This window comes from Homo sapiens, chromosome 4 (assembly GCF_000001405.40).
Source record: "Homo sapiens chromosome 4, GRCh38.p14 Primary Assembly".
Lineage (NCBI taxonomy): Eukaryota > Metazoa > Chordata > Mammalia > Primates > Hominidae > Homo > Homo sapiens.
The window spans coordinates 151515975-151529290 of NC_000004.12; the positions used below are offsets into that span (position 1 = coordinate 151515975).

At 41.5% G+C, this 13316-nt stretch overlaps 1 protein-coding gene across 7 annotated transcripts in view, besides 1 other annotated feature; it reads left to right on the forward strand.

Moving 5' to 3' along the window:
- Positions 1 to 13316, forward strand: part of FHIP1A (FHF complex subunit HOOK interacting protein 1A) — a 261328-nt gene that overhangs the window by 106799 nt on the left and 141213 nt on the right. The window lies entirely within an intron of this gene.
- Positions 8513 to 9077: an enhancer, noted in NCBI's record as "NANOG hESC enhancer chr4:152445639-152446203 (GRCh37/hg19 assembly coordinates)". NCBI's record gives its function as "activates a minimal SCP1, AML or CMV promoter by ChIP-STARR-seq in naive and primed H9 embryonic stem cells {active_cell/tissue: H9 hESC(naive and primed)}" and the evidence as "EXISTENCE:reporter gene assay evidence [ECO:0000049][PMID:30033119]".

A 13316-nucleotide genomic window follows, 5' to 3' on the forward strand; every position in this document is an offset into this window, starting at 1 on the left:
AAGAGCCCACATCGCCAAGTCAATCCTAGGCCAAAAGAACAAAGCTGGAGGCATCACACTACCTGACTTCAAACTATACTACAAGGCTACAGTAACCAAAACAGCATGGTACTGGTACCAAAACAGAGATGTAGATCAATGGAAGAGAACAGAGCCCTCAGAAATAACGCCGCATGTCTACAACTGTTTGATCTTTGACAAACCTGACAAAAACAAGCAATGGGGAAAGGATTCCCTATTTAATAAATGGTGCTGGGAAAACTGGCTAGCCATATGTAGAAAGCTGAAACTGGATCCCTTCCTTACACCTTATACAAAAATTAATTCAAGATGGATTAAAGACTTAAACGTTAGACCTAAAACCATAAAAACCCTAGAAGAAAACCTAGGCATTACCATTCAGGACATAGGCATGGGCAAGGACTTCATGTCTAAAACACCAAAAGCAATGGCAGCAAAAGCCAAAATTGACAAATGGGATCTAATTAAACTCAAGAGCTTCTGCACAGCAAAAGAAACTACCATCAGAGTGAACAGGCAACCTACAAAATGGGATAAAATTTTTGCAACCTACTCATCTGACAAAGGGCTAATATCCAGAATCTACAATGAACTCAAACAAATTTACAAGAAAAAAACAAACAACCCCATCAAAAAGTGGGCAAAGGACAGGAACAGACACTTACCAAAAGAAGACATTTATGCAGCCAAAAGACACATGAAAAAATGCTCACCATTACTGGCTATCAGAGAAATGCAAATCAAAACCACAATGAGATACCATCTCACACCAGTTAGAATGGCAATCATTCAAAAGTCAGGAAACAACAGGTGCTGGAGAGGATATGGAGAAATAGGAACACTTTTCCACTGTTGGTGGGACTGTAAACTAGTTCAACCATTGTGGAAGTCAGTGTGGTGATTCCTCAGGGATCTAGAACTAGAAATACCATTTGACCCAGCCATCCCATTACTGGGTATATACCCAAAGGACTATAAATCATGCTGCCATAAAGACACATGCACACGTATGTTTATTGCGGCACTATTCTCAATAGCAAAGACTTGGAACCAACCCAAATGTCCAACAATGATAGACTGGATTAAGAAAATGTGGCACATATGCACCATGGAATACTATGCAGCCATAAAAAATGATGAGTTCGTGTCCTTTGTAGGGACATGGATGAAATTGGAAATCATCATTCTCAGTAAACTATCGCAAGAACAAAAAACCAAACACCGCATATTCTCACTCATAGGCGGGAATTGAACAATGAGAACACATGGACACAGGAAGGGGAACATCACATCTGGGGACTGTTGTGGGGTTGGGGGAGGGGGGAGGCATAGCTTTAGGAGATATACCTAATGCTAAATGATGAGTTAATGGGTGCAGCACACCAGCATGGCACATGTATACATATGTAACTAACCTGCACATTGTGCACATGTACCCTAAAACTTAAAGTATAATAATAATAATGATAAATTTAAAAAAATATATATTCATTAAATGCAGCAATATGGCGACTTTGGTTGTCTTCCCAGCCCTTTTTCTGTGCATATTTTTACCTTTATAAAACTTAAATGTGGTTATTTTGTAGATGCTGTTTTATATCCTGCCATATATATATTCATGCACTGCATAAAGATGCCTTGGTCAATGATAGATGGAATGTAGAACTGTGGTCCCCTAAGATTATAATGGACCTGAAAAATTGCTACCTTCTAGTGATGTTCTGATGATTCTGACCATGTGCAAGCCTAGGCTAACGTGTGTGTTTGTGTCTTAGCTTTTAACAAAAAAGTTTTAAAATTAAAATAAATAAAAAACATTAAAAATCCAAAAAAGCTTATAGAATAAGGATATAAATAAAGAAAATATTTTTGTACAGCTGTACAATCTGTGTTTTAGGCAAAGTGTTAATACAGAGAGTCAAAAAGTTCAAAAAATTAAAAAGTTTATACAGTAAAAAAGTTATAGTAAGCTAAGGTTAATTTATTATTGAAGAAAGAAAATATTTTAAGAATAAATTTAGTGTAGCCTAGATGTACAGTATTTATAAAGTCTATAGCAGTGTACAGTCATGTCCTAGGCCTTCACATTCACTCACCACTCACTGACACACCCAGAGCAACTTTCAGTCCTGCAAGCTCTATTCATGGTAAGTGCCCTAAGCAGGTGTATGATTTTTTATTTTTCATACTGTGTTTGTACCTTTTCTATGTTTAGATAGCTTTAGATACACAAATATTTACCATCATGTTACAGTTGCCTGCAATATTCATTACTACCATGCTGTACAGGTTTGTAGCCTAGGAGCAATAGGCTATACCAGATAGTCTAGGTGTGTAGTATACTGTACTATCTAGGTTTATGAAAGTATACTCTATGATATTTTCACAATGACAAAATCATGTAAGGATGCGTTTCTCAGAATGTAGCCCATTGTTAAACAACATATGACTATATGTTTTCATATACTCTACATTTCAGCAGATATTCTTCTCATACTATGGTTTTCAATATTTTATCATGAAAAATTTCAAACATAGAGCAAAGTTGAAGGAATTTTATAGTAAAGAAAGACCTAACCCATCATCCAAATTCTACCATTAACATTGTTCTATACTTGCTTTGTCACATAACTATCCATTTCCCTCCCTCCCTCCCTCCCTCCCTCCCTTCCTTCTTTCCCTTTCCTCCCCTCCCCTCCCCTTTCTTTCGTTTGAATGCGGTGGTGCAATCATGGCTCACTGCCACCTTGAACTCCTGAGCTCAAGTGATCCTCATACCTTAGCCTCCCGAATACCTGGGACTGCAGGCATGCGCCACCATGCCCAGCTAATTTTTTAAAACTGTTTTTATTGTGACAAAAAATTGTCAATCTGCAAAACATCGATATGTTGTCCAGGCTGGTCTCGAGGTCTCAAACTCCTGGCCTCCAGTTCTCCCACTTTATCCTCCCAAAGGCTCGAGCCACCGCACCTAGCTGCATCTTAATTTTTTGATACCTTTCAAAGTAAATTGCAAATATCCTCTAAGTTCTTCAGCATATCTATCATTAACATGAACTCAATATTTATTTAGTTTTTCTTTTGATACAAAATTTGTACTCAAATGAAATGCGTACATCTTAATTATATATTTGCTGAATTTTAATAAACACATACACCTGCATAATCCAAAGTCTGTCATAATATAGATTATATAACATCATCATCACCCTGGAAGGTTCCCTTCTGACCCTTCCCAGTCAATCCCTACCTCCCACCCTTCCAAAGACAACCGCTATTACAATTTTTTCCACCATAGGTTAGTTTTGCTTGTTCTATGATTTTATGTAATTGAAATCATACAATATGTACTTCTTTATGTGGTGGTTCTTTCACTCATCATAATGTTTTTGAGATTCATTCAGGTTGTTGTGTTTTAGTAGCTTTTTTTTTATTGCTGAGTACTATTTCATTGTATGAATCACAGTTTCCTTATTTTATTGATAGACATCTGGGGGTATTTTCATCTTTTAGCTATTAAGAAAAAAGCTGCTATGGAACATTCTTCTACAAGTCTTTTTGTGGATATGTGTGTGTGTGTGTATAGTAAGTGTATATGTGAATATGTATATATACACATCCACATTTATATATGTGTGTTTATATTTCTATATCTGTTTCTTTTGGGTAAATACCCAGGAATGGAATGGCTTGATCATAGAGGAGGTTTATGTTTACCTTTTGTAAGAAACTGACAGGCCTGTTTTCAAAGTGGTTTTTTTATTTTACATTCCCACTCATAATGTATAAGAATTCTGTTGCTCCATATCCTGGGGTTGTCAGTTTTTAAACTTTGGTCATTCTGGTTGGTGGGTAGTGGCATAATGATATTGAGCCTATTTCAAGCACTTAGTGGCCATTCGTATATCCTCTTTTTTGAAGTGTCTAGTTACATCTTTTTTCTATTTATAAACTGGGTTGAGCTGTTAAGAGTTCTAAATTCAGATACCAGTTCTTTGTCAGATGTATGTTTTGCGGATCTTTATTCCCATTTTGTGACTTGCCTATTCTCTTTACTAACCATATCTTTAATGAGAAGTTTTTAATTTTGATAAAGTAATCTTTACTATTTTTCTTATATTATTGCTTTCTGTGGCCTGTTGCCACATGTCAAGATGATATTCTCCTGTGTTTTCCTCTGAAAGCATTATGGTTTTAGCTTTTATGTTATCTATATTATATCTCAAGTCAGTTTTTTTGAGTGATGTTAGCCAGAAGTCAAGGTTAATATCACTCCATATGGATATCTAGTTATTCCAGCTCCATTTGTTGAGAAGATTTTTCTTCCCTTGTTGTATTGTGTTGGTGCCTTTATTGAAAATCCTGATTGTGTGTGTGGGAGTCTGTTTCTGTGACTCTTTCTGTTCTATTGATCTACTTTGATTATTTTGGTCTTGTGCCATTTTTAGTAGTGGTATATTCTATGAATGTTCCATAAATCATATGGAATCACTTTGCCATTGTTGGACATTTTTAAGTTTATAATTTTTTATTATTAAAAACTGTACTGTGATGTATATTACTTCTGTTGTTTAATCTTTACTTGAGTGCAAGTGGTAGAAATAATTTATAAACAAAATTCAAGACAAATATGTATAACATTACTTTTAGCTTTACATAATATATTCTAATTTTTAGTTCAGTGACAAATGACAGTAACTACTATTAACAAGAAGGTAGAGTGAGTACTGTGACCAGCAGCCATGAAGTCCTCGTCAGCTGGCAGAGGAAAATTCACTTTGCTTCTAAATGTCATTCATGGATTGTTACTATTATACTAGTAACTAAAATTATTAGAGTAGAGAAGTATAAAGAACAAAAACTTCAAAAAGGCTTTCTTAGAACTTAGTGTTCTCCATGGGTTCTGTAATATATTGTAAACATGTATTTGCATGCATGTTGCAAGATTGAAAATGGGAGTCAGATATTTGACCGATTGTTTAAAGGTATTCACTCAATTATGGAAACAGAACAGTGGTTATAACACATGTCCTATGTATTGTCAGATGTGAGAGGTTATCTGTCTTGAGCTTTTGTATATGGTAATCAGAAAGACATTTAGTTGTGTAAATGATCCCTGAGGTGCATGTTTTTATTTTATGTGTGTATAAATAAAATTATACCACTGCATGAAGTGTTTGTAAATGCTTAGCTTCTTTATGTAACAATTTATCCACTTAGAGAAGCAATTTGTGGTATGTAGGCTACCCTAGATTTTATTTTAAGTGTTTGTGATTCTTTTCTTGGGGAAGGTGGATTTTAAGGGAGGAACAGTCATTTTGGATGAATATTTAATAATTTTTTTCATATTCTTGTCCATATGAACAGTGAAATAAATGTATATCATAACCTTTTAAGAGGTTTTCTTGCATTTACCATAACAACAATTAATATCTGTGATGGAAGGACTACTATACTGGAAAACTACACTTTTCATAAATTATTTAGTCGTCTCTGCGGTCTAATCAGGGTCTGATAGCTGTAGCTTGTAGGAAGCTAGATCTTGGTAAAGCACAAAGACCAAGGACTATACCTAGAACAGTATCATAGGAACCTTGTATAAGAATGGGTTATTCGGACTGTTATATCTGCCTTCTAATTTGTCAGTAAATTGGAGGCTTCCTTTCCGGGTATGTCAGTTTGTATGTATGTATGTATGTATGTATGTATGTATGTATGTATGTATGTATTTTTTTATTTATTTATTCAAGACAGGGTCTTGCTCTGTCCCACAGACTGGAGTGCAGTGGCATGATCACAGCTCACTGCAGCCTTGGCCTCCCAGGTTCAAGTGATCCTCCCACCTCACCCTCCCAAGTAGCTGGGACCACACACATGTGCCACCATGCCTGGCTAATTTTTAAAATTTTTTGTGGAGATGGGGTCTCCCCATGTTGCCCAGTCTGGTCTCAAACTCCTAGGCTCAAGTGACCCTCCCACTTCGACCTCCCAAAGTGCTGGGATTACAGGTGTGAGCTACCATGCCTGGCTGATGTTGGTTATTTTTAGCAAAATAAAAACTCTTAGATGTCTGAAACTTTCACTATCACTCTATGATCTATTATAAATCAATAAGAATCTTTAGGCAGGCTGTCCCCTTTTTCTCTCTTTCCTCCATGAAAGAACACAATGAAGTGAGTAAAAAAGCCATTTATTTGCCCTTCCTTCTAGCCCCAGTGCTGATTCCAGCCTTCAGTGCTGATCCAGTTTCTGGATCACTGTGGATACAGGGTATGGGGGCCACTCTAACCGACTTTAATCCCTTCCTGGATTCAGCTCGTGAAATAGAATTGTTTGTTTTAGTTGTATTGGCTTTGAAGTTTTGTGTAGTGAATTGTCAGAGTCCTGGACTGAACTCAATCTCTGGTTAATTCTTGATGAAATGATTTCTCCTTTCTCACAGAACCAAATGGACATCCTCAGTTGTTCTCTGTTCAGGAATCTCCCTGTGGAAAGTCAGTGGAGGTTTAACCAGGTTGGGAGAGAGGACAGTCACTGCTGGCTGCTGCCTACTGTGAATTCCCTTCAGTATCCAATTTTTCACTTCCCTGCCTATTCTTCTAATGAGAAATAACCCAGAAGTGGAACAGAAGAAAAACAAAACCCAAAACCATCAAACAAGCTTAAGACAAATTTTGTCCTTTGGCTTTCCAATCTTCTCATCTAATCATATTATTTTCAGCAACTTTTGATAACGTGTTGCTTGTATAAAATCAATTTGTGTGTCTTTTTTCTTTCATTCTTTCTTCCTTTTTTCACAATAAGATCTTGGGAGAGTGAATGCTAATGCAGTTCTAAAGTGGAAGCTTAAAACTAAGAACAGTTTGTTCTCCTTCCATCCCTTTACACTGTGATCTTTAACATCACCGTCAAGGAGAGTGTGTTTGGTTTTGTGATCAATTTAGCTGTCAGGGGTTTGTGATTTTCTGAGAGCTGACTCTTGCTGCTAATGAACATGATCATTTATACACTGTCACTGTAGTATAGGCATGTTAAATAATTGATCAGGCCCTGGCAGTTAGAGAATGGCAAATGCAGTCCCTTTGTTGCTATGGTAATACATTTGGTTAGGGGGGCTGTCATTTGGACCACATGGATCTGGCACATGTGACATAATTGCCTGTGGTTGAGGCGGTTGCAGGAGAAAATCAACTTAAGAAGAGGTGGCATTTTGAAGTAAATTAATGTATATTTCAGGGTTTTTTTTGGGCTTAACATTGTGGAGTGACTTATTCTTTTCTATTAAAAGGCTCATTCTCAGCTAATGGTAAGCATAGAGAATGAGTCAAGTGACAGATTTGTTTACTTGCTGACACAGTGGAATTTGTTCATTTATTGTATAAAATGGTTATTGTGTGAAGTTTACATTCCTCCCTCTATTATCCCCTGGAGGGCTCCCCATAAGTGAAATTGATGCCGGGCTTATTAGGGATCCCGAAGGGAATGGACAACATACTCTCTTTTGTTCTCTGTTTTTTTTTCTTTAAACAATCATAAGTTTTTAAAGGTAGGGGCTATGTTTTTGTATTCTTTCAACAAATATTTATTTGTTGCAAGGTGCTCTTAGGGGTTGGGAGCACAGTGTGAGCAAAGCAGATATGGTCCTTGCCCTCAGAGGTTAGACTGTGGTGGATTATGTCCATTTGTCTTTGAGTTTCTCCTTTAGCCCTATCCTTAGCCTTATCAAGAACCTTCTCAATATGTGTTTGGTAAGTGTTTAGAATAGTTTCTTCCTTTCCAGTCCAGTCTCTTAATATATGTTTCTTCCAATGATCTATTAATACTATTTGTGAACAACCAACACAAAAGTAAATGAAAGCTTAATTGACATAAGTGCAGCCCTTCCATTGATCCATGTCCTTCTTTTCCTTCATAGTTTAGCCAAGTTCTACCTCTGCTGTGATGCCATCCAAGCCAACAGCAATGTCTTTCTGGCTATTTTTTTACTCAGTTGATGTGACATATTTTGTTCTGTTTTTTAAAAATGTTATTATTGGCCAGGCGTGGTGGCTCACACCTGTAATCCCAGCACTTTGGGAGACCGAGGCGGGCAGATCATGAGGTCAGGAGATCGAGACCATCCTGGCTAACACAGTGAAACCCTGTCTCTACAAAAAATTAGCTGGGCGTGGTGGCACGCGCCTGTAATCCCAGCTACTTGGGAGGCTGAGGCAGGAGAATCACTTGAACCCGGGAGGCGGAGGTTGCAGTGAGCCAAGATTGTGCCACTGCTCTCCAGCCTGGGTGACAGAGTGAGAATCTGTCTCAAAAAAAAAAAAAAAAGTTGTTACTTAATCTTTCATGTGTCCTTGCCATCCCTCTTAGATGATTTGGGGCAGGAAAAAAGCTGAAATCCAGTGGTCAAACCTCAGCATCTTCATTTTATAGAGAAGTCAGGCCTGTAGAAATTAAATGATGACAGGTTAATAAAAGAATCAGGACTGGTATCGAAGTGTCTAGACTCCAAGATTCCTCTTCTTTACTCTTCATGTGCCATTTCTGAGAGGAGGCACCAGCAGCTGCTGTGCTCTCAACTTAAAGTGGGAGTCTTGTAGCCATGGGTGGTGAACAGAGGGCTGATGCTAGGACTGAACTAGGCATAATGGGTAACAACAGTGGTTAGATAATGCAGAACTAAAGGTTGAAGCACTTTATCAGTTTTAATTTGACATATGAAGCAGTTGGAAACCATTGTAGGCTTCTGAGAAGAAGCTAAACATGAGCAAATTAACACTTGAGGGAAGATGCAAGAGACACCTGCTGAGTATCAGTATGGTTGGGGGCAGGGAGGACAGCAGGAAATGCCTTTGGAAAGGAAGTGTTGCCTGTTCGACATGTAGAAACTTGAGGCTCTTTGGTTTTGAACTAAGATACTATAATAAATACATGACAGAAATAGGAATCAAATTCTCAAATGGTGCGTCAGCTCCATCTCTTTTGATCAAAGGGCTTTCTGGCTCTGAATTTTGATGATTATCTTATTTTATTTTCACTTGCAGAAAGATCATTCTAGCATTGCTTACCTCTCATCCCATACTTATGTGACTCCAGCCCTGATTAAAATAGACTGAAATTAAGAGAAATCTTCTAAATTAAACAAAAAGGAAAATTTACTGAAAGAATTCTAATAGGTTATGGAACTCAGGCTCAGCTGGGCCTAAGGAAGATTTTACATCAGGAATTAGAATGCTAGCTCAGCACCCTATTCTGTTTTCTTTCTTTCTCTCACTAAACTGGCTTTCACTCCACATGGCTAAACCAGGCTGCACTATAGCTTCTGAGTTTATGTCTCAGTTATTGAAGCAACTTGAGAAACACATTGAGCATTTTCCAATTGTATTTTCAATTCCTGAGAGGAAAAATCGGATTGACTCAGCCCATTTTTTGCCCAGCAAAGGTGGGAGGTAGAGCAGCCAGGCTCATCTGATGCCAAAATGGCAGTGCCAGATCTCATCCTTGAATTGGAAGTATTGGGGGACAGAGAAGGGGGTCTTGGCAGATGCCCCCAACAAATTGAAAATCCCCACTTCAAATTACCCAGATTTCTAAAGAGGTGTTTGCCATTTGTTGAATAACTGTTTTGAAATTTCATTGTGGCATAATGAGGAATTACATTTATTCTTTCCATTTAATCAATTTAATCATTTTAAAAACAATTTAGATCTGTAGTGTTTTCCTGAAGCTAATGTTTTGCTGCTCACCTTTGTACTTCTTTTTTTTTTTTTTTCATTTTTAATTTTTTATTGATCATTCTTGGGTGTTTCTCGCAGAGGGGGATTTGGCAGGGTCACAGGACAATATTGGAGGGAAGGTCAGCAGTTAAACAAGTGAACAAAGGTCTCTGGTTTTCCTAGGCAGAGGACCCTGCGGCCTTCCGCAGTGTTTGTGTCCCTGGGTACTTGAGATTAGGGAGTGGTGATGACTCTTAAGGAGCATGCTGCCTTCAAGCATCTGTTTAACAAAGCACATCTTGCACCGCCCTTAATCCATTCAACCCTGAGTGGATACAGCACATGTTTCAGATAGCACAGGGTTGGGGGTAAGGTCACAGTTCAACAGGATCCCAAGGCAGAAGAATTTTTCATAGTACAGAACAAAATGAAAAGTCTCCCATGTCTACCTCTTTCCACACAGACACGGCAACCATCCGATTTCTCAATCTCTTCCCCACCCTTCCCCCCTTTCTATTCCACAAAACCGCCATTGTCATCATGGCCCATTCTCAATGAGCTGTTGGGTACACCTCCCAGACGGGGTGGTGGCCGGGCAGAGGAGCTCCTCACTTCCCAGTAGGGGCGGCCGGGCAGAGGCGCCCCTCACCTCCCAGACGAGGCGGCTGGCCGGGCGGGGGGCTGACCCCCCCACCTCCCTCCCGGACCGGGGTGGCTGGCCGGGCGGGGGGCTGACCCCCCCACCTCCCTCCCGGATGAGGCGGCTGGCCGGGCGGGGGGCTGACCCCCCCACCTCCCTCCCGGACGGGGCGGCCGGCCAGGCAGAGGGGCTACTCACTTCCCAGTAGGGGCGGCCGGGCAGAGGCGCCCCTCACCTCCCGGACGGGGCGGCTGGCCGGGCGAGGGGCTGATCCCCCCACCTCCCTCCCGGACGGGGCGGCTGGCCGGGCGGGGGGCTGACCCCCCCTCCTCCCTCCCGGACGAGGTGGCTGCCGGGCGGAGACGCTCCTCACTTCCCAGACGGGGCGGCTGCTGGGCGGAGGGGCTCCTCACTTCTCAGATGGGGCGGCTGCCGGGCGGAGGGGCTCTTCACTTCTCAGACGGGGCGGTTGCCGGGCAGAGGGTCTCCTCACCTCTCAGATGGGGCGGCCGGGCAGAGACGCTCCTCACATCCCGGACGGGGCGGCAGGGCAGAGGCGCTCCCCACATCTCAGACAATGGGCGGCCGGGCAGAGACGCTCCTCACTTCCCAGATGGGATGGCGGCTGGGAAGAGGTGCTCCTCACTTCCTAGATGGGATGGCGGCCGGGCAGAGACACTCCTCACTTTCCAGACTGGGCAGCCAGGCAGAGGGGCTCCTCACATCCCAGACGATGGGCGGCCGGGCAGAGACGCTCCTCACTTCCCAGACGGGGTGGCGGCCGGGCAGAGGCTGCAATCTCGGCACCCTGGGAGGCCAAGGCAGGCTGCTGGGAGGTGGAGGTTGTAGCGAGCCGAGATCACGCCACTGCACTCCAGCCTGGGCACCATTGAGCACTGAGTGAACGAGACTCCGTCTGCAATCCCGGCACCTCGGGAGGCCGAGGCTGGCAGATCACTCGCGGTTAGGAGCTGGAGACCAGCCCGGCCAACACAGCGAAACCCCGTCTCCACCAAAAAAATATGAAAACCAGTCAGGCGTGGCGGCGCACACCTGCAGTCGCAGGCACTCGGCAGGCTGAGGCAGGAGAATCAGGCAGGGAGGTTGCAGTGAGCCGAGATGGCAGCAGTACCGTCCAGCTTCGGCTCGGCATCAGAGGGAGACCGTTTAAAGAGAGGGAGAGGGAGACCGTGGGGAGAGCGAGAGCGAGAGAGAGAGGGAGAGGGAGAGGGAGAGGGCACCTTTGTACTTCTTAACTGCTGGAAAATTGACTTTATTATTGTTATTATTTTTATTGGTAACACAGGGGCTGAGAAGTTAAAGGTCTGCAATGCTTCAGTATAATGCTCTGATAATTAAAAGGTGAATTTCTGTGCATGAAGAAATTCTGTGAATCATAAACCATAGTTCTTTTGATTGTGTTTATACTCTTTCCAGAGAGGTTCAGAAATGAATAACCTTGAGATACTCAGACCTCACAAGGTTTACTAGCTTCAAAGATTCTGATTTTATTTATAGGCTGCAAAAAACCACTCAATGAAGTTGGTTGTGATTCACTGCTTATCACCTTGGGCTATTGCCACTCAATGCCAGGAAGGTATTGAATTTTGTACAGTGAGAGAGTAGAATAAAAACCGTGTAGCTCCAAACAGAAGCCCAAGCGTTATCTCAGGTATTTCTCATAGCTTATTGAATGGACCCAGGCCAGTGGCTTCAGATCTGAGTTTTTCTGCTTCTCCCCACCTCTGTGAGAAGTGAATACTTTGTCAATACAGCAGCTGCTTGGTTCTTTTGGTGACTGAAGGAAGAGCTAATAGGAACAGTAATTTTCATGGCCAGTTGAGTAGTGGTCTGACGAAAAATAAATCTGGATAAATTATGCCTTGGCCTGTTAGAGTACCCCTGTTTCACTCCCAGCTTTGATTTATGCAGTAGTGCTCCTCTACTGCCTCTTTAAAATCTATGGTAAACAAATTTTCTGTTATATGCAAATTTGAGAAAGGCGCTGAAGTAGATAGCTATGAAATGTACATCATGGGTATCTGCTGAAACCCATTGTCCGTTCTGTCGAAATATAGAACTCATTTATTTAAACCAGAAAACACGAAGTGGAACAAATTTTGGTTGGAAGCTAGGTAATAAAATAAATGATACATGGAAAGGGACCCCAAAGGTGCTCCAGAAAAGCTGGCATAGGATTGGAGGCCAGGCTAGGAGGAGGTGAGCATTGGGTAAGGCTTCATGTAATGGCTCCTGCAGGATTGATACTGCTTGTTATTTTGACTGTCATTTTTTAAATTATGTATTTGGATGGGGGAGCAGAGGGAAACTTTGCTTTTAGGTTTTTTCACTGTTGTCGTTTGGTTTTTGTTTGGAGGGTGTTGAATAGTCTTTCTTTTTTCATTCCTTAATGGAACCTTATCTCAAGGAGAAAACCAGCAACATTTGGCTTTGTTTCAGTCTTAAGAAGTGTTAGAATAATATTTTCCCCCCCTTCAGCTGAGGCTACAAATTGTGGCAAAAGTATGAGAGCTTCTGGACTTTATTTGGTGTTTCACTTCATGGAACTTCTTAAAGTTATCCTATACTTATTGTAACTGGGGTGTTCTACCCTCCACCTGCCCTCTGGTTGCTTCCTCTGGTAGCCTGTCTCTGTGAGAGGCATCTTGAGCCCTTCTCAGTTAGATGGGTCATGTCATTTCTCCCTCCCGGTCTTTTCAGTGAAGTCCAACAAAGCAGCTTGGTAAATGGCTTTCTGCCTCCTCATGGCCTCTTTCACAGGTGGGTGTAGGCTCCCCACCTACTTTATCTCTGGTTGCAAAGAATAGAGATACCCTCCTGTGACCTCAGGTAGTGGGAAGCTTACTGTTAGATCCTAGGAAAAAGGAATAGCTAGGCTTCAGGAAGGGCAAGGGCTGAGGAGAGCTAGTCACCTAAGAGGCTGG